The sequence below is a fragment of the Homo sapiens genome, chromosome 2 (assembly GCF_000001405.40).
Source record: "Homo sapiens chromosome 2, GRCh38.p14 Primary Assembly".
In the NCBI taxonomy this organism is placed as follows: Eukaryota; Metazoa; Chordata; class Mammalia; order Primates; family Hominidae; genus Homo; species Homo sapiens.
The window spans coordinates 239,748,607-239,775,934 of NC_000002.12; the positions used below are offsets into that span (position 1 = coordinate 239,748,607).

Consider the following 27,328-nt stretch of genomic DNA (forward strand, 5'->3'; position numbering starts at 1 on the left):
ATGGGCTGTTCCCTCCCATGTTCTGAGCAGATGCAGACATTTCTGATTGCACACATGACTACCATCTTGTCATGTGGTGCATGCTCCACTCACGTGCCCAGGGCTTCGCATGCGATCTTTCGTTTAATCCCTGTGAAGACCTTCTGGAGGAGACGCCATTGTTCCCATTTTACAGAAAGGCAAAACTCAGAACTAATAAGCTCCTTACCCAAAGAGTCTCAGGCAGCCAAGGGCAGAGCTGGGCTCTATGACTCCACCCAATGCCAAAGTGCTCGCCACTGAGGCCACCCAGGGGCCCCTGCTCAGGATGATCTTCCCGGGAAGCCAGCCTCCCTGATCTACCCTGATCTACCCTGGGCTGTGACAGGGCTAGGCCTACAGGCCAGCTGAGTGGTGGCCGGGTGAGACCCCAGGCTGGCCACTTCATCATCTGCAACAACTGGCCAGCCGGCTCGCGCAGAGTCACCTGGGCCGAGCATGGTAGTTTAGAAAGCCCTGGTAGGTTTTACATCTTCGTGGAAGTAAAAACCCCTCCTTTGATGACACACAGGACTATGCATAGGGCCTGGGGAAGCTCCCTCACCCCAAATTCCGTGAGCTGATTGTTCGGGGTGTGCAGTGGGCCGGGATCCTCAGTGAGCACCCAGACTCCCAAAGGTGGCCAGAGGTGCTGACCGGCCATCCCTGGAGCTGAGAGGGCCCCATAGACAGAAGCTGTGGCCTAACTCCCCGACAAGTTGCAGGACTAGAGCCATTTACCCAGCCTGGGGGTGGACAGCCCCTCCTTCAGACACCAGCCAGGCTGCGGGTGCACCAAGACCACCCCTGAGGGGCGGAGTCTCGACTCTGGCGAAGCATCTGCTACCGAGCCTGAAAGCAGGAGTGGACACCATGTGTGGCTGCACAGCTTGCCCCTCTCCCCGTGCAGGGCCCGTCTTTCTGGCCCCGTCACCCAGCCCTGGCCTCCAGCACAGCCCTGCTCAGTCCCTCACCCCTCAGTCCTGGGGCCTTGGAGGCAGGGACTGGGAAAGGCCAGCATCTCCCATCTTCCTGCTTGGCTGGAGGAGCTCCCAGAACCTGTGTTCAGCTCTGGCAAGTGGGAGGAGCAGCTCTTTAGAATAACTACCTGCAGCAGCCATGGCCTCCTGGGGGCCGCTGGGAGCAGCTGCCCCCGCACCTCTGGAGCAGCTCTGCTAGTGGTGCTCAGAGTAGAGGCTGTCTTGGGGCCAGGGCTGCAGAGATGCTACCTTCTGAGCAGGGACTAGGGAGGACAAACAGTAAGCTTCTCTTCCAAAAAAACAAACAAATATATTTCTCTCTTATTCTCCATCACAACTGCAAAGCAGACAGCAGTAGCAACGAACCAGCGACTGTCAGGAAGCAGTTGTGAGCTGGGATGAGAATTCAGGCATTTTCAGATGCTGAGGCAACAGCCCTCAGTTCTGGGGCTTTCTCCATCTGCTGGGACGCTTACCCCCTTCCTCACGGCGTCCAAGGACACCCCCAGACACAGGGCAGACATAGATCCAGGCCTGGAAGCTTGGGGCTGTCTGAGGCGGGAGGGCCACACGCAGGTCTTGCAGGAGGGTGGATGGGAAGCAGCTCGGGAAGCCATCACGGTGACAATGCCCTGGCCCCCCTCGTCCCCTGCGCTCATCCTGCAGCCGCCGTCCCAGGGGTCCAGACCCCTTCCTTGTACCCTGATGGCTGCCCCTTGCTCTCTAGGCTGCCTGCTCCGCCTTGGCACCAGCACACCCCCCAACCAAGCTCCCCGCTTTCTTCTCCTCTATGGGCTCCTTTCCCAAACATCCATTCACACCTGCAGAACGAGCATGGCCTTTGGATGGGCCCAGGCCCTCGACACCCGCTGGGCTGGTCTCTTTTGCAGCCTCTCAGGCATCGGCGCTTGTCCCTGGGATCTCCCTGGGCAGGGCCAAGCCAGGCGGGTCATTCTCCTGGGAGCACCGCACTCATTCCCAGGCTCTACCTAGCGGCGCTGTCCGGACCGCCCATCAGGACCACCTCGAGGATCATCCACATCCCACATGCAGGAGCCCTGGAGAGGCCCTGGATGCCCACCTCCCCACCTGGACACCTCCACTTGGAGGGCAAGCCCAGGGCGTGGGGCCTGGCACATCCAGGCTGTCCTAGCCTCCTCGGGCAGCGTCCCTGGGCTGTGGGAGGTTTTCTTGCCCAGAGAGCCAGAGAGGAGCCCCCGGAATGTTCCCACAGACGTCAGCTGTTGCTCATCCCAGGCTCTGTGTTTTACAAGTGAAGCCCAAAGACAGAGAGAGGCAATGGGCTGCCCAGGTCCCCAAGACCACAATGTGGCCTTGTCCTGGGAGAGGCTGCTGGGGGGACCTCCTGAGCTCTTCCGTGGCCGTGTCTACCCCAGTGGGTCCGGTGGGTTCCGGGGTCTGCTCTGAAGCTCTCCTCTGCAGGCCCGGCTCTCCACAAGGCTCCAAGGTTTCACACGGACGACTTCCTCCCCATTCCCCTGCCCGATCCCCAGGGAGCCGTCCTGTTCCAGGACTCAGGCAGGAGCGGAGGCACCTTCCCCATCCTAGCACCCACCCTGTCCCTGCCAGGCCACTTCACCATGACCTCAGGTCATTCTCACCTAGCCATGGCAGAAAGGTAAGATCCCAACGAGGAAACTGAGGCTCAGCCAGGTAACAAGCCCACCAAGTGGGAGGTGGCATCTGAAGGACCGCATGATGCTGCCCCCAAGCTCCCAGCCACTGCCCTCCACACATGGCCGGGGTGGCACAGGGGCTGCGGCTGCTGGTTCCCAGACAGAGGGTACAGGAAGCCTGGGGAGGATGGGCCTCTGCGGCCTGGGAAGGAGCCCCTCCCTGATGGGGGAGCCCCTCCTGGACAGGGCAGGCACGTGGCCACAGTCACTTTACACCTCCAAAGCCCGGGCAGTAGACGTCACCCAGGGGACACCCAGGCCAGGGAGGAGGGGGCCGTTGGCCCGCACAGCTGGGTCGTTGGGTCCATTCTGTGTGAGGAGTGGTCCCCAAGGGCAGGGGTAGTGCAGTGCAGGCCCTCTGGTGGTCTCGGGGGCAGAGCTAGGGGCTTCGTCTCTGTGCTGCCTCCATACCCTGGTACAGAAACACCAGGTGAACCCCGGGCTGACCAAGCTCATCCTGGCTGCCAGCACCCCAGGCCCGCTGGAGCGCGGCCCGGGGCCCTTCCTACCCCTCTGCAGCTGGTATGTACTTCCTGCAGTGTGGGCGGAGAGGGGGAAGGGCAGCCTTCCTGCACTGTGCAGGCTTGGGGAAGAAGGGAGGCTGAGCTGAGGGCCGCGGCACCCAGAGGCCCAGCAGAGGGGTTTTGGGCCAGCCTGGAAGTCACCACAAAAGCAGGAGCGACTCTGCCGCTCCCAGCAGGAGCAGGCTGTGGAGATGGTAGCACCAACTCTGCCAGGGTTGAGGATGACTCTGCCCAGCTGGGTGGGATCTGCGGGGCTACATGAAGACCCACGTCACCCACCATGACCGGGCCCAGGCTGACTCCTGGACATCTGCCCCGCATGGGAACTCTGCCCTGCGTGGGAACTCTGCCCTGCGTGGGAACTCTGCCCTGCGTGGGAGCTCTGTCCTGCGTGGGAACTCTGCCGTGCATAGGAACGGTGCTGGCAGAAGCCCCTTGTTTTGAGCAACTCATGGGTGAAGCATTTTTAAAGAGAGAAGAAACTCACTGCGCGATGGACAAAAGGAATAAAAATAAACACCATCCGAGTAATCTAGGGAAGAAATCACCAACTCTACAGACAACGTTTAATACGTGAGCTCTAGCATCACCCACAGAGCCGGAGAGGGAAGGGTGTGAATGAGGAAGACATTAGGTGGCCTGGCTGGGTTTCCACACTTGTTTTCCAAACAGGGGCAGGCCAACTGTCTGGAAAGTGGGAGAGAGAGGCCTGGTGGCAGCAGGCCGGCCAGTGGTTTGCACGTGGAGCCCCCGAGAGCACACTGGCCCTGTGGGCACAGGGTGCTCTGTGGGTCCTGGTGCGTCGAAGCCCTGGTCCCAAACTCAGGAGCCGGCTGTCCATCTCAGGCCATGCTGCTGTGTGAGCCTGAGCACATGTGGCTGCACCTCTCTGAGCCCCTGAGAGGTTAAGACTCTTAGCCTGGACGCCACAGGATTGGGGTGTCTGGAGATGTCCACCAGATTTTCTGAATGCAGCACAGCGTTGAATCTGGAGGCTACATCAGGGCCTGGCTGGTACTGGGAGGTCCCATGAAGCCGGTTCCCCAGCTTGTAGCTCAGGAAGGGTTGGGCCATCATTCTCATTCAGGTTTTAATGTGCCCCTAATAATGGGATTTCCTCACCCTCCTGATGGGTGACATACACCCTGTGGTCCCCCCTTCACCCTCCGATCTGGACGCTCCCAGTACCTCAGCCTGCGGTGTGCAGTTCTCAGGAACGGGCCTCGGGAACACGCACCAAGGAGGCCTGTGCTTAGACCTAATGTATTGAGTAAGCAGGAAGTAAATCTGCCATTGCAATGCCCTGCGTTTTGGAGAGTGCCTGAGAATTTTTGCTTCCTCTGAATCACCTCGCCATCCTCTCCTGACCAGGGAGAGAGCATAGTCATCCTTGTTCTGAAAACACAGCCTTATGGAAGCAGGAGGAAACGTGGCCTAAGTGCCCCCGGATGTCCGTGCACATTTCAAGTCAGATCCTGGGCCCCTCCATGTGTTCTTCGTGCTCTCCGTGTCTGGCCAGTGGGGACAGCGGCCCACCCCTTCCCTGCTGCTCCATTCCGCCCTCCATGGCATCAATCTGGGCTGTGTTGTGGGGCCTAATGGACCTGCTCCAGACGCCTACCCTCGCTCCTTGTAATGGTCCTCACAGAGCACAGAGGGAGGGGCCCTGGGAGCCGTCTCCCCCCAGCCTTGTCCTCATGGCACTGGCTTCGACTTCCAGAGCCCCCAACGTGTCTGTGTTGGGAGCAACCGAGGCATCAATCACCGGTGACCTCATCCTCCACTCGATAAAATGTGCATAATGACTCTTTCCCCTCCCAAGCCTCCGCAGGGACCCGGGGCTGATTGCAGCTGCTTACTCCAGGCCAAGCAGGAGGCAGGGGCATACAGAAAGCCAGCACCTGTCAGGCACTGCCCAACGCCATTCCTCTGCCCGGAGCCCGGGCTCCTCCCCAGCCTCTGGCTGTGCTGCGTCCAAGGAGATCTTCCTGGTGCCCTGTCCAAGCAGGTGTCGCCTCGGCATTGTGCACTGCTGCCACTTGTCTGTCCCTTCTTAGCTCTCATGCCCCTACATAGGTACACTTCTCATTAACGGTGTACCTGCTTCTTCTCCACCAAGCATGTTCAGCCCTCGTAAGTGTCCACTGGTATCTGTTGAGTGAATCAACCAAGGAAGGCACCAAGCAGGGAGCAAGACACTCAGTGCACATTGTTTTGTGTGTTCATGACAACATTCCTTAAATAAGTATAATTATCTCCATTTTATAGATGAGAAAAATTAGATTCAGAGAAATTAATATCCCAAAGCTAGAATTTCAAATCTAAATATTGCTCTAAGACATTTTGTCAGCAGACACAGCACAAGAAGAGAATGTTTCTCAAAAGGTCAATCCAGGCCAGCTTAAGGAGCAACTATCCCGTGGGAGGCCAGGGTGGCATTGTGACGATGGACACAATTACCCCCTCCTGTTAACTGCTACAACACCTGTTCTGTGCCTCCCTTTGGCCTTTCCTAGTACAACTTCTCGCTGACTTGTATTCTCATGATTTCTGGTATTTCTCAGTCTCCAGCTAGATCTCAGTTGCTGGGGGGCAGCAGTCTCATCTGAATAATGCTCATATTCCCCAAACTGAAGAAATTTTCCATGCCCCACACGATTCTGTTCTGAGATAATTGTGTGGGTGTGTAGAAGTTTCTTATTGGCATGCCTTAGTCCCCAATAGAATGTGAGCTCCTGGTGGTCAAGAGTCATTTTATTCAGTTATTTTTCTCCTGAATTTAGCATAGGCCTGGCTTGTAGTAAGATATTGATAAGTGGTGGATGGATAGATAAATAAACAGATGAATGGATGGATGGATGGATGGGATGGATGGATAGATGGGTGGATGAATGAATGGATAGATGGGTGGAGAACTGGATGATAGATGAATAGATGGATGGTTGCATAAATAAGTGGGTAGTGGATGGGTGGATTGATTTTTGGGTGGGTGTGTGGATGGATAAGTACATGGATAGATAAATGGATGGATGAATGAACAAAAGAATGAGTGAGTGGATGGATGGATGGATGGATGGGATAAATGGATAGGTAGGTGGATGGATGGGTGGACAAATGGATGGATGGAAAGATGAATGGATAGATGGTTGCATAAATAAATGGGTAGTGGATTGGTGGATTGATGCGTAGATGGGTGGGTGGGTGGATGGATAGGTGGATGGATGCATGAATGGATGAAAGGATGTGTGAATGGGTGGATGGATAGATGAATGGATGGATGAAAGGGATGGGATGGATAGATGATGGGTTGATGGATGGGTGGAAGGATGAATGGACAAATGGATGGATGAATAGATGAATGGATAGATGGTTGCACAAATAAATGGGTAGTGGGTGGGTGGGCTGATGCATGGTGGAGGGATGGATAGATAGGTGAATGGATGGGTGAATGAATGAAAGGATGGGTGAGTGGATGGATGGATGGATAGATGGGTGGGTGGGCAAGTGAGTAGATGCATGGGTGGTAGGTGGATGGACAGGTAAATGAGTGAATGGAAGAGCTGGTGGATGGCTAGATGCATGTACAGGTGGATGTATGAATGATGGGTGGATGAACGGACGAGTAGATGGATGGGTGGTAGGTGGATGGACAGGTAAATGAGTGAATGGAAGAGCTGGTGGATGGCTAGATGCATGTACAGGTGGATGTATGAATGATGGGTGGATGAACGGACGAGTAGATGGATGGGTGGTAGGTGGATGGACAGGTAAATGAGTGAATGGAAGAGCTGGTGGATGGCTAGATGCATGTACAGGTGGATGTATGAATGATGGGTGGATGAAAGGACGAGTAGATGGATGGGTGGTAGGTGGATGGACAGGTAAATGAGTGAATGGAAGAGCTGGTGGATGGCTAGATGCATGTACAGGTGGATGTATGAATGACGGGTGGATGAACAGATGAGTAGGTATGCGGGTGCGTGAGTGGATGGATGGGTAAGTGCATGGATGAGTGGATGAAAGAATGAAAGTCAGGCGTGATCAAGCGTTGACGATTATGGTCTCTTCTAAAGGATTTTTTGAGAGCTGCTTAGGGATGTAAGTATCTGTGAATGTCGCCAGTTATCATCAAGTGGAGAACATTTCCCAGCTGCAGTCAGAGAGAGAAACGACAGTGGAAGAAGGGTCAGAGAGATGCGTTATCGCTGACCTCAGATATGGATAAAGGGGCCACAAGCCAAGAAACGTAGGTGGCCTCTGGACACTGGAAAAGATAAAGAAATGCATTCACCCTTTCAGCCTACAGAAGGAACACAGCCCTGCCCTGAAGACACCTTGATTTTAGCCCAGTGAGCCTGAGCTGGAGTTCTGGCCAACAGAGCTATGAAGTAATCACTGCGTGCTGTCATAAGCCACTAAATGTGTGGCAATTTTCTGTAGCAGAAACAGAAAATTAATATGGGGGATTTGCTGTTTAATAGAGAAGTGGGCAAAGTGCTTGAGGAGTGTCTCTGTATGGAGCCCAGGGAAAGCAGCCTTTCCTCTAAAAGGGCCTGGACCCAGCCTGCTTGGTCAGTGAGTGGAGCCTCCCTGGGAGGCCTGAGCATGGCTCTGTTAGCCTCCTTCGCAGGAGACACACGGCCGTGGGAAGGAAGCTGCCCTGTGTTCACTCGCATCAATGTTCATTGTTCTTCACGGCGGAAATGGGTCTGTCGTTTATGAAGTGGTGCCAGAGCCAGTGGGTGCAGGATCTGCCCAGGAACCAGGGCACTGGGAGCTGGTGCCTTTCTGCCCTGCAGATGGAGAGACCAGGACCAGCAAAACTCATGTGATGTGCCCAGTGTAGAGGGCCCCAGACAGTGACCCCTGTTGGTAGCCCCCAAAGCCTGGACTCCTGGGCATTGCTGGAGTGAGGTTTTCTGCAGTGCAGTCTTATTTCAGAGACACTGGTGCGCTGGCAAGTCGGGGGAAGCCCCCGGCCTGGAGTTGCACGACCTCTGCGCTGATGCTTTGAAAACACTGTTTATCAGGCAGGCTTCCTCCATTCTCCTGTGTAAAGCCAATGTTTCTCATTCCTCATTCCTTACACCTAATATCCGAGTGCTTTCCAAGCAAAAGCATACTCCTGACCATAGGGCATGTGAGACTGAAACAGCTGCTATATTTAACAAAAAAAACACATCCTGTTGCCATGACAACCTGCGTCTAAAATTAGAAACGTCACGTACCACGGGATAGATACCATGAAATGGGCTGCTCCCGTCGCTCTCATCGATTCTCCAGGCTGGGGCTGGGTGCTCCTGGCCCGCACCGCATCCTGCAGTGGATTCGTATCAGAGGGACTCTGTGTGGGTAGACAAAATCTCTCTCCAATTTCCTTAGACCCTGGCCAGCCCTCTGCATGGGAGGCCTCCTGGTGTTCGTGGTTTCCAACGGTTTGTCTGTCAAGCTAGGGTCGCCTCTCAGGAAGCGTGGACAGAGGCATCTGGGAGAGAGGTGGTCAGGGGCCCAGGACCGGAGAGCCAGCCGGGTGTCCTGGTGACACAGCAGTCCCCTCCCTGACCCCACTTCCCACTCTCACATGAGCAGCGCTTTGCTGGCATTTCAGAGGGCTTGGCCCTCAGCACCTTCCCACATCTCAGGATCAACTCTCCAAGCACTGCCCACTCAGGCCTGACCCATGCCACCACACGAGAGGCTGCTCAGGGCCCTGGACCCTTGTGGCTCCCCCTGCCAAGTCCCCGGCCAGGCAGCCTCATGGGCAATCTTCTTGCCTCTCAGACGTGCGTGACTCCTTCCCTCCTCCCATGGCTGCGAGGCACTGCCTGGCTACCCCTCTCTCCTGTCCCCTGGATACCGGCCCTGCCCTCGGAGGAGGTTGCCCGCAAGCCCCGACCCCAGTCTGTCTGCTCCTCCACCACGTGTGCTTCTGAAACGAGCAAGGCTCAGACGCCTAAACCCTGCTTGGCATGCCGCCTTCGCTACCCCGCGAGCTACTTGGTTGAGGTCCTGGGCATCTGGGCCCAGAAGGGAGCTCCCCTGGCTGTGTAGTTGTCACTGTCACTGATATGGTTTAGACCTGTGTCCCCGTCCAAATCTCACGTCGAATTGTAATGCCCGGTGTTGGAGGTGGGGCCTGGTGGGAGGTGATCAGATCATGGGGGTGGAGTTCCCCTGACTTAGCACCGTCCTCTCAGTACTGTTTAGTGGGTGAGTTCTCACGGGTTGTGGTCGTTTAAGAGTGCAGCACCTCCCCGCTGTCTCTCTTGCTCCTGCTTCAGCCACGTGCGACATGCCTGCTTCCCTTTCACCTTCTGCCATGACTGTAAGTTTGCTGAGGCCCCCCAGCCATGCTTCCTGTACAGCCTGCAGAACTATGAGCCAATTAAACCTCTTTTCCTTATGAATTACCTAGTCTCAGGTATTTCTTTACAGCAGCAAAGAACAGACTAATAGAGCCGCAGTAGCGTTGATTGTCTGTGCATGCTTCTGTGAGTTCTAATGCACACAGAGATTTGTGTAACCACCACCACATTCCATCCGCACAACGCCCCCCTGCTGCTCCGTGTAGCCACACCCTCCTGCACCGAAACCCCCGGGCTGCTGACCTATTTACCGTTCCTCCAGTGGTGTCTCTTCAAGAATGGAGCAGAATCAGAGCCCCACAGTGCAGAGCTACCTTCACTCAGCGTGACACCTTGAGACCCACCCCAGGTTGTCGCCTGTATCAAGTTAGTTTGTTTTTATTTCTGGGAAGCGGTCCATGACACGAATGTGCCGTCATTTATTCCACTGTTAGAGGGCATTTGGGCTTTTCCAGTGTTTGGTGATTATGACTAGAGTTGCTATAAACATCCACGTTCAGGTTTTTATTTATCTAGAGAAAATGCCCAGGGGCCCAGACTGCTGAGTCATGTAGTGGTATGTGGCTGACGTTTTAGGGCACAGCCAAGCCACTCTCCAGGAGGCTATCCCCCTTTTGCACTCCCCCCAGCAGCGTCCTCACCTGCACGTGTGCTGTTTTACCAACCGTTCCAATAGGTGTGTTTGGCTGTGCTGGTAGGGCTGTCACCCAGTTTTTAAAGGACAACACTGTCTTTCCACACCTAGTGGAAGCTAATTTCTAGTTAACTCTTTATAAGCAAGAAATTAGCTTCCATTAGGGGTGGAAAGACAGCGCTGTCCTTTAAAAACTGGGTGACAGCTGAAGCGTTAGCTGACCGGGTGCAGTGGCTCATGCCCGTAATCTCAGCACTTTGGGAGGCTGAGGCAGTGGCTCATGCCCGTAATCCCAGCACTTTGGGAGGCTGAGGCAAGCCGATCACCTGAGGTCAGGAGTTTGAAACCAGCCTGGCCAACATGGTGAAACCCCATCTCTACTAAAAATACAAAAATTAGCCGGGCGTGGTGGTGCATGCCTGTAGTCCCAGCTACTCGGGGAGCTGAGGCCAGAGAATCACCTGAATATGGGAGGTAGAGGTTGCAGTGAGCAGAGATCGCATCACTGAACTCCAGACTGGGTGACAGAGTGAGACTCTGTCTCAAAAAAACAAACAAACAAACAAACAAAAAAGAGCCGAGGTTTCCAAGGTCTGTGTTTTGCAGGAGAACTATACAGGCTGCTCTAACACATGCTGCCAGTATTCACTTTACAGTCTTGTGGAGACATTTGCCAGGGTTTACAACAGTAAGTAATGATAAAGCTCACCTGTACCCAGCACTTAGGAGTGGGCTGGCACCTGCACGGCCGCACTGACTCTCCACAGCCCTGTGTGGTGGGCGATGGCACAGCCCTCACTTTGCTGCTGAGAGGCTCTCCTGCCTGGGGACACACAAGCTCAGATGAATTTGCATGAAGCTAATAAGACTGAAGTTCCAGGAGCTCTAATGTGTAGTTCCCGTCCAATGGGAAAAAATTCTTATAAGGAATTTGTAGTTTTTGCCACCTGAAAACCCTCTATCTGTTCAACAAAAGTGAAATTAGTTCAAAATATCAATCCAAAGTATTTAAGAGTATTCACTACCCAAGAAAACATAAAAAGCATTAATATTTTACAGATTGGGTGTGAAAGAAATATGATAGAGATTTTCCTAAATTTGACAAGAATCCTAAAATTTCTCGTCATTACCAATAGTGGGCTGCCAAGTTAAAATGAACTTTTCTAAACTTTCAACAACTGAGATAAAAAAGAGGTCACTCATGCTGAAGGAGACTGGATTATCTTTCCATTTTCTTCATAGAAATGATGTTGTGTACTTGTATGAAGAGACCATCAAGAAGTATACAGATAAACAGTTGGAGAGAAATGTACAACAGGCTGATAATTATTAAATGACTGTTGCTGCTATTTTTCTTCATGTTGTGATGCTTGTAGTGTTTGTCAGCTTTTAAAGTGTCATAATTGGTTGCAATTTTCTTCTGGGCACATGCCCTGATCTCCACCCGCAGGAGAAGCTCCTTCCCGGAGAAGGGAGGTGTCACACTGCGGGGAGGCTGTGCCAGAACTGCTCGCCATGAAAACGGAGGATTCTGCAGCGTCTTCATGTGCTCCTTCCCGGACATGACTTCCACTCTTCCAACCTCATTTACGGGCACATGGTTTGATCGTTATGCCCTGGCCTCCCAGGAGATCATGGTCAGAGTGCAAGACCATGGAAAAACGGTGCTAAACTGAATCTGCTTCTGTTTGGTTTCACTGGTTTATTGCCTACTGTCACCCCTTCCACAAGCAGGTGGCTCTCGCTGTACATGTCACAAGTTATTCACCTGGGCCAGTGAGCCAGGGAGCATGTGCCATGGTTGTTATCCAATGCAGTGTAACAAATCCCAACTCTTGCTGCTAATAACAATGGCAACCTTTATTTTGTTCATGAATCTGCAATTGAAGCAGAGCTGGGTGGGACGGCTCCTCCCCGAGCCGGGGACACCAGCAGGGAGGGTTTACGGGCTGGGTCTGAAGTTGCCTGAATGCTCACTCATGTCGGGTGGCTGATGCTGACTGTGGGCAGGGACCTTGGTGGGACTGTCAGCTAGAGCACTTGGGCTTCCTCACAACATGGTGGCTTGGTTACAAGATCGAGGTCCTGACAGAAAGGAAGTCCAAGAAGAAGCTGTCTCATCTTGCATGTCCTGGCCTTGGAAGTCATATGGTGTCACTTCTGCAGCATTTTATTCAATGAGGTGGCCATCAAGTCTCATGAGTTCCAAGAGCAGAAGAAAGAGATTCGCTTCTTGGGGGGAGTGGTGGCACGTTCTGGATGAGTGTGCTGGACTGGAACAGTGCTGTGGGGAGACCCAGGCTGCCACGTGGTGTGTGTGCCAGGCATTCTAAGATGCCCCAGTGAGGTGATTCATTGTCGGGACACATGCATTAGACACAACTTTCTTTTTGCATGGTGAAGATATCTGGGGGGGTGTTGGTTGGAGCAAGTCAACATTACTTTAAAATTACTTTCTCAGGGAATATCAACCCTGACCCCCGTTCTTACCTCTGAGTGAGGCAGCCCCGCCCAGATGCTGGACTCTGTTGAGAGCCTCAGTTTCCACAGAACACATGGGTCCCACTCACTCCCAACAGCCCGATGTGGAAAGGCATGTGGTTCCAAGACTCACCTCCCACCTGAGTAGCAGAGGTCAGGTATTTGTGGGGGAGCACAGGCTTGCCTGATACCATCAGAGTCCTTGGTTGAGGGATTAGAATTTATGCTGTGTTCCCTGGAGGGCATCCATCCTTCTGCTTTTGCCCCAATAATCTCTCCTTCTCTGTCCATCCTCCAATTCAAGCAGGTGGTCAGCAGCACCAGGCTTATAGCCTCACAGAGGGTCATGACTTAGTCAAAGCAGAAATCTCATCCCCCGCAAGAATTTATGGATTTTGTTTCCAAAAACCCAAGCCCTAGGTTTGAGTGGAAGAGCGAGAATCCGAAGTACAAACTATCTTAGCCAGAAGCATGAAGGGGAAAATACCTTCCAGCAGGTGAGACAGAGCATCTCATAGGCTGGGGGGCTGATGAGGGCAGGGAGCCTTGCAGGTCCTGGAGGAAGGGAGCTTCCACCTGGTGAGGCAGAGCCTGACTGTGGTCACTCTTCTCACCATATCCTGTGGCTCCTGAACCTCCACTAGACTGCCTTCCCAGCGTCCCCGTGGTCAGTCGTGGTCACCTGATGAGACAGATAGCAAAAGTGAAGTGTGCCACCCCAGGACAGGTGAACAAGGCACAGGCCTGCCTTTATGCCTGTGAGAGGCAGCCTCTGAGATACCCAGCAATCCCCACTTCCTGGCATTCACACCCTGTGGGACCCCTCTCCTTGAGTATGGAGGGGACTACACAGAACATTGCAGAAGTAATGGGATGGGACATAAAAAGACAGTGGCTTCTGTTCTGCTCTCACTGTCTTGTCCCAGCACCCTCCCTCTCTCCCTTCCTCCCTTGCTTTAATGAGGCCAGCTGCCATGCTGTGCACTACACCAGGCAGAGGCCCCCCTGGCAAGGGCCTGAGCACAGACTGGAGCCAATGGTCATCCAGAGACAAAGGCTCTAAGTCCAAGAGTCCATGAGGATCTGAATTCTACCAACAACCGTGAATGAGCTTAGACATGGAACCTTCTCCAGTTGAACCTTCGGATAAAACCCAAGCCCTTGCTGAGGGCTTCACTCCATCCTCATCCAAGAATACAAGATGGAGGCACTCAGTTGAGCTGTGCACGGATTTCCAACCCACAGAAACTGTGAGATCATAACGGTTTGTGGTTTGAAGCCATTCAAACCGGTTTGTGCTTCAGAGTTGTGGGGATGATTTGTTCTGTGTCAATAGATAACTGTCCCATGTTTCCCATCTGCCGGCTGAATGCAGCATCCTCCTGGGAGAGGGCAAAAGTGCAGAAGGAAGGCTTCCACGGACCAGGAGCACCTGCTGTGTGGGACAGTCAGGAGGCAACAAAGTCGACTGTGTCGACAGACTGAAATTTGTTGTTGCTGTTCCTGCGTCTATCGCTCCCCTGAGATGGAGTGGCTGTGGGCTGCATCAAGGCAGAAAAGCCTGCATCATGTGGGAATAAATGAGGCTGCATGTGATCAAATACCCGGAAAACAATGGCGTAAACCAGTAAGTGTGTTTTTCTCACCGGGCAGGTGGTTTGGGGGTCAGTGCTGGTTGGTGTCAGCTCAGCAGCTGCACATCCCAGCAGAGGCTCTGTGGCTCTCCCGGCCTTTCTCTCGCCTTTGCGGGATGTCTGCTGCTCCTCCAGGCTTTGTGTCCAGTCTCAAAGGGCAGTGCCAGCTGTTTGGCCATTTCCATGAGGAAAGGAAAAGCTTTCTCAGATGTCCCTGGCAAACTTCCACTATTTCTCCTTGGTCAGAGCGTGTCACTTGGCAGCTCCTGGCTGTTCCCGTGAGTGGAAGGAGTGCCTCCTCAGCTCACTCCCCCTGCTAACTGCAGCATCTGCAGCTTGCTTCATGCACCTTCTTTCTGCTGAGGTTTTATCCTTCTCCTCCAAGCTGCAAAGAAGGGTCTGGCCTGGAAACCTGAATTCCAGCCACGATTCAGCCCTTAGCTTTGTTTGTGGCTTTGGCCACTTGTCTTTATTCTCTGAGCTGTTATGTTCTTCTATACAAGGGATTCCGTTCCAAGGACTAGCTAAATCATTTGGAAATTTTAAGATTCATGGATAAAAGGAGGCCTGGAAAGAAATGGAAAAGAAGCAGAATTCCATTAGGAATGCCCAGCGGTGAAATTGAGAGTGCAATCCCGCTGGCTGAGGGGCTCCTGGAAAGTGGGGCCTGTCAGGTGACAGAGGTGGAGAGAGGGTGGTGCAACGGGAAGGGCTGCATGGCAGGATGAGAAGGTGGCAGCAATGCCAGCGATCAGACGGGCTCTGCAGATTTTGCCCTTAGAGCAACTAGAATTTCTCTTTGGCTGAAAGATGTTTGTAGTGAGGGAGAATCTGCCCGAGGACACTTCTGCTTGTGTGCGTTTCTTTTAGGCATAACATCAGCTCCCAGGGTGCAGGCAGTGCTTTCTCTCCCTAACATGGAGCAGGTGGCCCTTCCTCTGAGGACGGCCTCAGGCACCATCAGACCCGTCAGAGAATCACAGCCTGGCGCCTGCCAAGCACACCGCCACCTCCTGGAACTTGCAGTTCTTGTCTTACTTACAAATGATACCAAATTCCTGGGCAGCCCCCTGTTCTCCACATTTTCTGGATTTGTGCGGCCTGCTTTGCTTTGTACAATGTTTTTGCACACTGTGTCACTTGCCCTTCATGGCAGCTCCTGTGAAGGGTGAGAGCTTCTTCTGGAGACCCTCTGTGACCTGCCCATCGGGGCCCAGTGAAGGAGCCCCATGGATCCTGGGCACAGAGGGCCTGTTGTCCAGCTCACAAGTCAAGAGGCAAGAAAGGAACTCTGCAGCTCCCTGGCATTCTTCCCAGGTCCCCAGCAAGGTCATCCTAGGTGTGCCAAAGTCAGAGCCCACAGAAGTGACCCCACAGGTAAAGTCTGCAGGTATAGCCACCTGCTCTTTGTGATCTGATTGAGTCCAATGGGGACCTCCTCATACACACACGTCCACTGGAGAACATGGGGCCCTCCTATCCAGAGACAGCTGCAGAAAGGCCTTTAGCAAATAGCATATGAAGTTGAGATGCTTCACCGGTCACTTCTTCCTCCTATGCACTGTACTTCCTTCTTAGATGCCCCAGTTGCTAAAAAAAAAGATCCATCCTGTAGGGTTAGGGAGTACCCAGGTGTGGAAATGAAGGACCCTTGGCCCTTTCCACTGCTGCCTGGGGGCAGAGCAGGCCCTGCCATCAACTCAGGCTGCAGCTGCAGGTGCACACGGAAGAGGCTTGAGGTTCACCGGCCTTTCAAGGGTAGGTGGTAACAGACAAAATCTTAGGCTGTGCGAACGTGAGGGACAAAATACATGGCTGCGTGGAAACTAAGATGATCTCACGATCAGAAAAGGGGTCTCCATGCCATGCAGCGGGGCCCCGAGCATCACATGCCACTCACCCAAGCTGGGAAGAAAGTGCAGTGATTAACCCTTTCCTAGATGAGGAAACTGAGTCTCAGGGATGTGGAGTGGCTCAGGAGAATTCATATGTGAGGTTCAGAGCCAGCAGCCTGGCCTGGGACTTCTGAATTTCAAGGGTTGACCTCTTTGCAGGCTCTAGGCCTGGCCATCCTAAGTGGAGAGTGGGGACGGCTGTTCTTCCTGCCCTCCAGCCTGGTGCTGATTCCCCCGAACTGATCTTTCTCCTCCTGGTGTCCTCTTGCTCACCCCTCCTCACTTCTGCAGGCTCCCCAAGAGTCAGGCAGGGCCACAGGCCCATGGGACTTCACAGCATGCCAGGTAACATTCAGCCTTAGCTCTTGACCTGGCCAAAGGGAGGGAGGCCTCTCGAAAGGGTTCTTCTCTCTAGTGAGAAACAGCTGACCAGCATACCCCACCATCACTGCCATGACGGGAGGACTGCCCAGACATGTCTTCCCAGAGCAACGTGGCCAGCTTCCCCTCTCTCTCCCTTTCTGTCTCTGTCTCTCAGCCCCATTCACCCCAAAAGTGCAGACTGGTGAGCTCAGTGACCGATTGTTGTTATTTCAACCAAGTTCAGGCGTCATGTGTTACACAGCAGTAGATGCTCAGAGCACCTTGTCATCCCCACGTGGCAGATTCAAGTTCCTCTAGCACTTACCGAGTGCCTTCTGCATGCCGATTCAGAGCCTTCACACTCTCTTGCCCAGCAGCCCAGGGCAGTCGGTCTCCTTTGGACACGCAGCCTACCCTCGTGGGCAGGGTCGTTTCACACTGCCGCTCATCTCCTGGGATGTGTTTTCAGAGTGTGTCCTTGCAGGCATCCCCATGGGAAGCAGGTTTGAATGGGGGGTGCACAGGGAGGTACCTGGGGAGACAGGTTGAAGCGTCCGCTCCTAGGGAGCTTTGCTTTATCGTCAAGTGTCCTTGGTTTGGGTGAAGGGACAGGATTTCAAAGCAGCCTTTCCCTCCGTCCTGCTCCCTGCCTCTCAGATGAAGATGGCCTGCCAACTGCTGGCCTCTGTAGGTGACCGTCCCAGGGACAGCCGCACCCCATATGGAGCAGAGAGGCTGGAGGCTGGCGGGCCTGTGAGTACCGTGCCACCGAAACATGTTACTGGTGTCCAGATGTCTCTCTCCCCACACATCCTGGAGCTGTTTGAGGGCAGGGCCGTATCAGAGTTGCCTGTGCACTCTCACACCCAGCGCTGTGCCCTGGGGACCTCGCCAGCACCCAGAACCTTTTGTTGGAGAAGCTGGCGGTCATGGTGATGGGAGGTGGAGAGTGTAGTCTGACTCTGGGCCGTGCTTGAGTCCTCACGTCCATGTGCGCTGTGGCCACCTTAGCACAGAAGCACACCCTGCAATTCTAAGTGGGAAAACTTGCGTGTTCTGAGTCATGCTGAGGGCTGCAGGGTTCGAGGGAGGAGGCTCCTTCCCACAAAGGCAGGGGTGCCCTGCAGTGGCCAACTCCTGGCCTCCAGGTGTCCGGCCACCCTGCCTCCCCCTCCTCCCTGGCTTTCCGTCAGTTTCCCATCTGCTCCCGCAGACTCATCTGCTGGGGACAGCCAGTTCAATCGAAAGAAAAGAAAGGCAGATGCTGTAGGTGACATTTTTTTGGCAGTCTCCAGAGAAAACGGGAATCTGGACTCAGGAGAAACGCTGTGTGCAATGGAAGACGCTGGTGCCCACTCACCTGGGTCAGGACTCAGGGAAGCTTGAGGGCCTCCCACGAGACAGCGTGCACTCAGGGGCATGGTGGGGGCTGCGTTGGGACCAGTCTTTCCCCAGGGGCTCAAGGAGGGCATGTCCATATTTTCATATTAGTTTAACTAACTTCATGCTGGCCATTGGCAAAGATAAACCAAAAAAAAAAAATCGAAGATATTGTCAGTGGGGAAGGGAGCTTTCCAGATGAATCAGAATCCATTAATTTTCCCCCATACCTTTGGTGGCTGAATATTCATGTGACACGTGCTTGATAGTGGGGATGAAAATCTGTCCCCACCACACTCGCGTGCCAAGGTGATGTGGCAGGAGTGGTGTCTTCGTCTCCCAGCACAGCCGGTCTCCCTAAGGAGCCCCCGGACTGACTGCAGATCCCGCCCGTGGCATCAATGCCAACCAGCCCATGAGGGAGAAGTTCAGCCTCTCCAACTTGACTCCCTCCCTCTGCTCCTCTGTGTGAAGGTGCCTGTGCCTGCAGGGCTGGGGGAGGTTGGCTTAGGGACCCCACCTGTTCTGGATGAAGCCTGAAGATCCACAGGCCTCTGGGGAGACCCTGGGCAGGGTCCACACCTGACCGCTTTCCTGCATCTCTGCAGGGAGCTGAGGCACGGAGAGCTGCGCTGAGCATCTCCTACCCACTGGCTGCTGTGTTCAGTTTCACGGTTTCACTCTCGGGGCCTCTGTGTCTGCGAGGGAGCTCGGTTAGCAGCTGTACAGGCCTAGGGCTCCCCGCCTGCCTTGCCGCTCCCACAGCAGTGAGCACTCGGTACTGACGCTGGAATGGCAAGCCCTGACACAGAGCCATGTTTCTGGCGGTTATTTGAACCCCAGGGGTTTATTGTAGCAGATGCATTCCGGAAACCACACCTGGAATGGGATGTGAAGCTTCAACACTGCTCCAGGCCTGACGGGCCCGGGCTATGAGGTTGCACCACGGCCACAAGCGCAGCTTTTGGGTGGTGGAGAAGGTGCACTGAGACCAATGCTGTGCTTTAATGGCTCCGGGCACTACCTGGCATAGGGCACCCTCAGCCTGCCGTCACCTACAGCTCGGGAGGCTGGGCGACAGTTCCAGAACAACCACAGGAGTGGTCGCTGCCTGGTGCTCCTCCCAGGGGCAGGAGACCCCTCTCCTGGGCCAACCTCAGGCACCACATGGCCTTCGCTCCTCCTGGGAGTGACTGGCTGGGAGCGGCTTTGGTGCTAACAAGGCCCAGAGTTGCAGAGCACAAGGTTCTCTAGAAATCCCTCTCCCATGTCATGGACTGGGAAACCGAGGCAGGGAAGAGGGAACAGAGGCAGAGCCCCGTGGCTGACCATTTGCTCTGCAAATTCTGAATGCCCAGCAGTGTGATTTTTAAAGCTTTATTGAGGTATAATTTACATGCCATAAAATTCCCCCACCGTGAGCAAGCATACAATTGCATGTTTTTTGGTAAACTTACAGATTTGTGAAGCCATTGCCACACTCCAGTTTTAGAACCTTTTCATCACCTCAAAATCCTCTCGAGTCTGCTTGCTCTCAGCCCCCAATTCTACCCTCAGCCCCAGGCACGCTGGCGTGCGCTCTGTCTCTCCCAGTGGCACTTTTCGTGGACGAGAGGTGAATATCCAAACCTCATCAGGTACCAGGCAAGCATTATGGGCATTTGACCCGCGAGCGCTGGCACCCATGCTCAGAAGGGCTCCATGCTCGGGGTTCAGAGCTCTGCAGTCCTGCCCCTGCAACCTATGGTCACTTTTTCTTTAGTCTATGTTTTGTAAGCACAATCCAATGAGGCCGAACCACATGTTCCAGGCGTGGAGCCTGGGTCCACACACAGTCCTACCTCCCACCTCTTCCCACTGATGTCCTTGGTCCATGCTCCGGACCCCACCCTCTCCTCCCAGGGCCACTGCCCACCTCTCCCAAAGCAGTGACCGAGTCTTGTTAGCAGGGGGTGGCCTGCCTTCCTGAGTCACTCTCCATCCTGGTGGCAGCCTGGGCCCCCTGTGGTGAGGGTCACGGTCAGGTCTGGCATCACGCAGCATCTTGAGTGGAACCAGGAGACAACTGTCTCCCATCCTGGGCTGGACGGTGGCTCGGCAAAGTCAGTCCCTCACACATCCTCGATCCAGGTCCCGCACGTGCCCCGGCTCTGAGGTTTAGCCTGTTGGCTGATGGGGGGAAAGGTGTATGGGGCCTTTGTCGACAGCACATATGCCGGGCTGTGGAGTGGGGCCCAGGGTGCCTGCGAGTGTCTGCACTCCCCAAGCATCGCGCACCACCAAAGGAGCAAGACATTCAACATCAAATAACCCTGTGGCTACTGGCCACCCCCATCTTCACCCTCCCTTTACCTCCCTTTATCCTGCACATCTCAGAGGACAGCTCACTGCACCAGAGCACTTTCGGGACTATGAGGCCGCTCCCATGGCCTTCCTGGCCTCAAGGTCTCCCTGACATCTCTTGACTCTGGGCTCCATCCACCCAGCCAAGTGTTGTTGTTGCTTGTCCCAAACACAAGGTCATTCATGAGAAGATATGTCTTGTGAGTGCTGAGACCTTCACGTGCCCAGCTAGGAAAAGAGAAGAGCAGGCATGAGGAGAGCCTTGTCTTCAGAGCTGAGACCTTCACGTGCCCAGCCAGGAACAAAGAAGAGCAGGCCTGAGGAGAGCCTCATCTTCTCCTTATCGCACCAGGAAATCTTTGAATTCAGATTTCTAATATCAGATGACAATGAATCCAGGTTCATGTTTAAAACAAATATCTCTTACTATGGGCCGTTTTCATGAACTTGGGGCTTGGAAAGGCTGCAGACACTGTTGGCAGGCAAAGACCATGAAGAAGGTGAGTGGGTGAGGGCCAGGCCGAGGCTCCCAACACAGCCTGTGGGCAGACGGACGTAAAGCTAGGAAGCCTCCAGTTTATGTAGCGGAAAGTACATATCCATCCCTCCCCCAAACACAATAAGCTGACATCCATTTCCTAAGGGCTGCTGAGTTCTGCCAAGCAGCAAATAAATCACCCACAACACCAGCGACGGGACAGGGAAGGAATCTGAAACCGCAGGTGCAGTGGCCTTGGTGCCAGGAGACATCGCTGTCTGCCGCGGGCAGGGGACTCCATGCCATGAACACCCCTGCCAGCTGGGGCTGGGCTCTGCAGAGGTCTTGCCCAGGTAGGGGCCCTTGCATAGCCCCTCGGAGCTGCCCCGCCAGAGTGAGGCACAGAGGCAGGGGCAGAGTGCAGGGTCTCGGTTGACACCTGCCATCATCAGGGTTTGGACAGACAGCATGCCGGGTCATCGCCAGGCCGGCCAGAAGATGCATTTGATTACTGGTCACCGCAACACTGTCCATGTCACTCCAAGAGACCCAGTCAACGGTGGAGGGTGAGCATGGTAAATGGCCTTTTGCAATCACTTGCTCCGGCCATCTCAGACACAAAACCCAGAGTCAGCATCTTCCCATGACACCCTGGCCCTGGCATTCGCAGTGAGGCAGCAGATGTTACAATCCAGTTAGAGATGGCCTTGGTGGTCTCACTCAATTCAGGTCCCGCCCAAAGATAGCCTGGAGCAGAACTGCCCCCTCCAGGAAGGGAGCTGAGCCATCGGCCTCTGAGGGACTGAGAGCAGGGGGCCAGGGCTCCCTGCCACCTGGGCTTCCTGGGTCATATCGCTGGGTCCCTCAGGGTCACAGCAGCAGAGGTAGGATGACAAAAACCCCTCTGCAGCTGCCTTCAGACAGAGGCCAGAGCTCAGAGCTCACCACCCCTGCCCCCACACCCATCCAGGAGTCTCAGGTGGAAGCTGTTCTCTCTCACTTGACAGGTGTTGGGAGGCTCAGATTCCCCTGCAGGTGGAAAAGTGCTTTTTCAGTCTCCAGCCCCACCTGTGAGCACTGACCTCATCAGCATTTCCCGGTGCTATAAATAGACCTGAAACACAATGAAGGGATCCAGTTTAGCGAAAACGGCCGTGGACCTTATGTCACCTGAAAAATGCTTTGGTAGGGCAAATGCTGTTCTGAACTCTGTCCACTTTATAAGTGTGGACGCCGCCATGACCCTCTCCTAGAGCGCACATTTGAAGAGTGGGTCCAGAAAAATAGATCCAGATTGCCTGCTGGATCTAAATTTTAGACACATTTTGACTGGCTGAGCATTATTTTTTAGAGTGTAGATAGTACATATTTAATAATCTAGAAATCCTGGTTTCTCTTGATAAACAAGAAGGTCTGGCCACAAAGGGCTCAGTGTTCCCCAGGACAATAAGCTGGGTTCACACGACTCTTAGGTGCTCTTTGGGTGGGGACTGTGTACTGCTAGTCCCTGCCGACTGGGCCACATCCAGTTGTTGACACCAATTGGCCATACCATTTTCGTCAACATCCCCTGAGAAGTGGTTGTGAGCCTGCAGGACTTAGTTAACTGCAGGTGTAAAATGGGACATGAACTCCTGGAACTACCTTTTTCATAAAAATATATTATTAAGATATAAGTTTTCACAGTTTCTAAAAACAGCTGATCTTTTGTGGCTGTAAAGTAGGACCCACACAACTACATATGACTTCATGTTATTGATTAAATCTATGAGAGATTGATCACAAACATTCAACTGCATTAATCTATATTAGAAATTTGAGAACTACGCCCTCCCCAAGCAGTTTTCAGAACCTGGCTGCCCCCATACCAAAGGGCCCAGATCATAATGTCTGCAGTGAGGGGCTTGGCCAACTGGTGTCAACAATTGGATGTGGCCCAGTCAGCAGGGACTGGCAGTACACAGTCCCCACCCAAAGAGCCGTGTGAACCCAGCTTATTGTCCTGGGGAACATTGAACCTAATGTGGCCAGCTCTTCTGGTTTATCAAGAGAAACCAGGATTTCTAGATTATTGAATGTATTAAATCAATCTGAACTCTAAAAAATAATGCTCAGTCAGTCAAAATGTGTCTAAAATTTAGTTCCAGCAGGCAATCTGCCTGTCTGTGACTCTATAGAAATCATACAACCAAGACCCCTAGGCTTCCTGCTGCATCCTGCACCCTGGTCCCCTGAGGGAGCTTCATGCTGACTGTCCCCTCCTCTCTTACTCTGTGGCTTATTCCCCTGTACACTTTCCAGAACCCCATGAACCTGCACGGATCAGACAATCTCCAGATTGTCTTCTCCAGATGGTCAGGAGGGACAGAAGGATCAAACCATCCCTGACTGCTGGGGAATTCACAGGCTGCCTCCAGAAACAACGATACCTGGGTCTTCTAGAAGTAGTCAAGAGAATGTCATTTCACAAATGCAGGGTAAACCAAAAATACTGCTTTGTTAGTGTAATTGGTAGGAGTGAGAGAGCAACATTTTTCCTATTGAATAATGTCATTTGCAGGGCTCAAGGAAATCACAGTCAGAGTGTGAGCCCTGCAGTTGGACTGTCTGAGTTTAAAGCTCCTCCATGAAGCTTACTAGTTATATGAACAAATCTGTGTCTCAAGTTTATTTACCAGTAAAATGGAGACAATATTAATATTTATCATATCATTGTTAGGAGGACAAATTGGCACATGTCAAGTTTTTAGAACACTGTCAATGAAACCCTCAATCAAGTTTGTTTACCATAATCATTATTGTTATTTCTAGACACCACTCCTCCTTTGCAAGTCCCCAGGAGTACCCAGGGACAACAGCAAAGGAACATTTCATTTGCTGGGTTCTGGTTTCATCTGCCCAGCTGCAGGGCATACTGGTGAAAGGACTTGTGCCAACCTAGCATCCTGGCTCATACCACATCTCAAACTGGGTCATGACATCTTACCCCATCTCACAGGGAAAGTGAGGGGCAGGTAATCAAAGGGAGACGAGTGTCCCAGAGCCCACCAAAAGAAAGCCTGGAGAGGTAGCCCTGAGTATCCCCCTCCCACTGCAGAAAACAGTGACCCCATGGTCCCACTGCACAGACCCAGGAATGGGTCTTTTTCCCCCAAAATGTCCTCTGCACAGTTCCATGCTACTGTCCTGGTCCAGACTGACAATGCAGGGAGGGGACAGGAGACAGTTGGCAGCTAAGGAGGGAGCACCACCAGCCTCAGGTGCACGGAGCTGAAAACCTGCCCACCAGAACCACCCAGTCAGTCACCAAGCCCCTCAAGCCACATTTTCCAGCCCTGAGCATTGGAGTGGTCATGTGACTCATTCTAGCCATTGGAGTATGAGCAGAGGTCATGACCACCATACCAAGCCTGGCCCATAGTCACCTCTCTCTCCACCAAAGCATCTCTTCTCCATCCTCCCTCCTCCTTTCCTCCCTCCTCCTCTCCTCCTTCCACTGCTGGCTGGATGTCCATGCTCAGGGAGACCTCGGAAGCCAGGGGTTCAAGACGGCAGCATCTACATCTGTGCCTGGAGCTCGGCCACCACTGACTGGACTTCATGGGAGCAAGAATCACATCTCATTGCGTTGAGCGGTTGAGGTTTCTAGGTTTATCTATCACAGCAGCTTGCATCCCACTGTCTGGTAGAGCAGGGCTGCCTCTGTCCTGCAGGTACATCCCCAACTGCCCCAACCTTGTGTGGAGTTGGCTTAATATCCCAGTGCTGAGCCCAGTGGTGAAGGGTGTGGACTTCAGGGTTGGACTGGCTGCATCCAACCCCACTCTGCCACTGCTACTCTGTGCCTTAGTTTTCCTGTCTGTAAAATGAGGATCAGAGTATTTCCTCCTTGCATAACAGTCATTGGAAGGATGAAATGAGTTAAACCCTGCAATGTGTTTACGGCTGTGTGGGGCCAGTAGTAAGTGCTAGGCAGGGCCTTCCTGACAGCATATTTCATTTGTAGAGACGAGAAGCCTCCGCACCAGCCATAGCTGTCACCATGACACAGTCTCGGTTCTTTATGTTTCCCATTAGTAATTTCCCTCACTCAAAGCCCATTTGCTCAACTTAACAGGAAGTGTCCACTGAGCTGGGAGGTCATTGCTGGCCCAGCCCTGCCAGGCTACAGCGTGGGCTCCACCCCTGCCAAGACTCCTACCTTTAAGTTCAGATATTGATCAAAGATGTAGCCTCTGCATTGAGGCAGCTGCCAGCTCCAGCCCGAGCCACAGGCTCATCAGACAAGAGGATCCCTACCCTACTGGTGAGGTCCTTTAGGGCCCTTAGACACCTTTTCTATCAAGACATCAAGCCAGAGTTATCACAGGCGATCAGAGAAGATGAAAAACTATTAAACATGGAGCAAAGGAGGCTGGAGTCTCAACTTGCCTCCCAGGGCTATAGGGACAGTGGTTTCTAGCAGGCATCAGAGCTTCCCTTTGTAACAGGTGTTTCCTCGCCCTAAGCGTGAATGGCTGACAGGAGCCATCCACGCTTTCAGGTTAAAGTCAAGGACACATCTCCCGATGGATGCTCCATACAGCCCTGACCCGGGAGTCTGGCAGACTGTGTTTGCATTAATGCCTCTTCCAGGACCCCCGGGACAGGAAGAGGCGCTGGCATGGAAGGAGGGCATGACTGTCACAGAGTCTCCAACGGGGAAGTCCTTGCAGGAATTTAAAATGAGGGCCTTGCCTGGAGAAGGGGCCAGGCTGAAAGCAAGACTTGGAGTCCTCAAAGGAACAATGATGCCTGAAGCTCCAAGTGTAGGCTTGTTTGCTGTGGGCATCCGAAGGCTCCTGCAGCAGAGCTGGGCTGTGACCCCAGGGCTGAGCCAGGATGCTGTCACAGGTGGGATGGTGTCGAGGGGGGACAGGGCTAAGACTCTGTCCCTAAGGCTTGCACATGAATGGCCCGATGGTGTTGAAGGTTGGCTAGCCGATGCAGACCTTGGCTTTCTTGTCCAGCCTAAGTAATCAGTGTTAGTTTCCTGGGGCCAGTATAGATAAGTACCACAAACCAGGGAGTCTTTAAAACAGTAGAAATGGATTTATTTACAGTTCTGGGGGACACAAGGCAGAAATGAAGGTATCTCCAACGTTAGTTCTTCCAGAAGCTCTGGGGGACCTGTGCCATGCCTCTCTCTCTGGCTCCTGGTGGCTGCTGATATTCCCTGGTTTGTGGACACATTGCCCCGGTCTCTGCCCCCATGTCACATCTGTGTCTGTGTCCCTCTTGTCCTTATGAGGACACTGGTTATTAGATTCAGGACCCACCTGAAATCTAGGAGGACTCGATCTCAAGATCCTTAACTAATTACATCTGCAAAGACCCTGTTTCCAAATAAGGTCACATTCTGAGGTGCTAGGAGGACATGATTTTGGGATCTAGGAGGTGAACAGAGTACTGTTCACCTCGCTAGTGACTTGGGGTCCTCAGGAGAGATTCTAGGCTGCTGCAGAAGTTTGGCACAATGAAGGTGCTGGCTTTGGAAGATTAGTTCTGTCGTAGTGGGGAGCCAAGGTTGGGATGGATGGGTCACCCGTGGAACTGGAAGCAGGGAGAGAAGAGGAGGCTGGGTGTGAGGTGCCAGAGACTGACCCAACATAGAAGCAGAGGGAAGGGGGAGGAGGAAACCTCCCAGAGGGCAGGAGGCTGTGCCTGGGACCCTTGGAACACCAGAGCCAAGACCAGTGAGTCTTGGGTTTTGGGTGTGCCACGCACAGAACCGGATGGGAAAACGGGGAAAGTTGGAAGCCAGCGTGAGCTCTGATGTGGGTGAGAAAAGAAGGGAAAGGTGACAGAACAAGGAACAGAGGGTGAGACCTGCGTTCTGGGTCCAGAGCTGATATTCCTACTATTTCAGTTTTCTCAGCTGTTCATGAAGGGAGTCGTCCCCGTTCCTTCTACCTCCATCTCCCAAGAAGCACCTGAATGCTGTCATCCAGCTGCCCTGAAAAGAGAGGACCCCTCTTCGGAAGCTCCCAGCCCAAGAAAAGAGACTGGGTTTCCTGCATGAGCAGAAGGGAAAACCTGCTTTTGGAAGAGCTGTTGGACCCGTCAGCCACATGACTCTGAAGCCGTGTTGCCCTTTGGAGGCAGCGGGAAGGACGTGACACGGAGGCTCCCTGGAACGTGTGTAGGTGCAGAGCCACACCAGCTTCTCTGACAGCACGCTAAAACTGTGCAGAACAGACTCATCTGTCTCATTTCTTGACCCAAAACCACAAAGCCCATCTTGAAATAGACACTGTGTGAATAAAGCCAGAAAGTCGAATTCCCAGGAGAGTGTGCATTTCCTTGAGCCGCCGTCACGGGGCAGCACGGAAAACCCGTTGCTGCTCCATAAACAGCACGTGGCTCCCATTACCCTTTGATTCCTACACAAAAAGATTATGAGAAAGCGCTGGTATGTGGGAAATGGCAGCTTTCTAGATCTCGAACATTAGCCTTGTTAATTTTTCAGAAATGCACGGGGGGCTGTGACAATGGGG

At 53.4% G+C, this 27,328-nt stretch overlaps 1 long non-coding RNA gene across 1 annotated transcript in view, besides 4 other annotated features; it reads left to right on the top strand.

Annotated features, from left to right (window-relative positions):
• Positions 1,187 to 2,097: an enhancer, noted in NCBI's record as "H3K4me1 hESC enhancer chr2:240671487-240672397 (GRCh37/hg19 assembly coordinates)". NCBI's record gives its function as "activates a minimal SCP1, AML or CMV promoter by ChIP-STARR-seq in primed H9 embryonic stem cells {active_cell/tissue: H9 hESC(primed)}" and the evidence as "EXISTENCE:reporter gene assay evidence [ECO:0000049][PMID:30033119]".
• Positions 3,205 to 3,274: a silencer, noted in NCBI's record as "silent region_12504". NCBI's record gives its function as "represses an Ori minimal core promoter by ATAC-STARR-seq in GM12878 lymphoblastoid cells {active_cell/tissue: GM12878}" and the evidence as "EXISTENCE:reporter gene assay evidence [ECO:0000049][PMID:35858748]".
• Positions 4,343 to 4,912: an enhancer, noted in NCBI's record as "H3K4me1 hESC enhancer chr2:240674643-240675212 (GRCh37/hg19 assembly coordinates)". NCBI's record gives its function as "activates a minimal SCP1, AML or CMV promoter by ChIP-STARR-seq in naive H9 embryonic stem cells {active_cell/tissue: H9 hESC(naive)}" and the evidence as "EXISTENCE:reporter gene assay evidence [ECO:0000049][PMID:30033119]".
• Positions 8,316 to 9,252: an enhancer, noted in NCBI's record as "H3K4me1 hESC enhancer chr2:240678616-240679552 (GRCh37/hg19 assembly coordinates)". NCBI's record gives its function as "activates a minimal SCP1, AML or CMV promoter by ChIP-STARR-seq in naive H9 embryonic stem cells {active_cell/tissue: H9 hESC(naive)}" and the evidence as "EXISTENCE:reporter gene assay evidence [ECO:0000049][PMID:30033119]".
• Positions 14,254 to 27,328, top strand: part of LOC150935 (uncharacterized) — a 37,805-nt gene continuing 24,730 nt past the window's right edge. The window contains exon 1 of the long non-coding RNA NR_037808.1: positions 14,254 to 14,326. This is a non-coding gene — a long non-coding RNA (uncharacterized LOC150935). The remainder of the gene's footprint in view (positions 14,327 to 27,328) is intronic.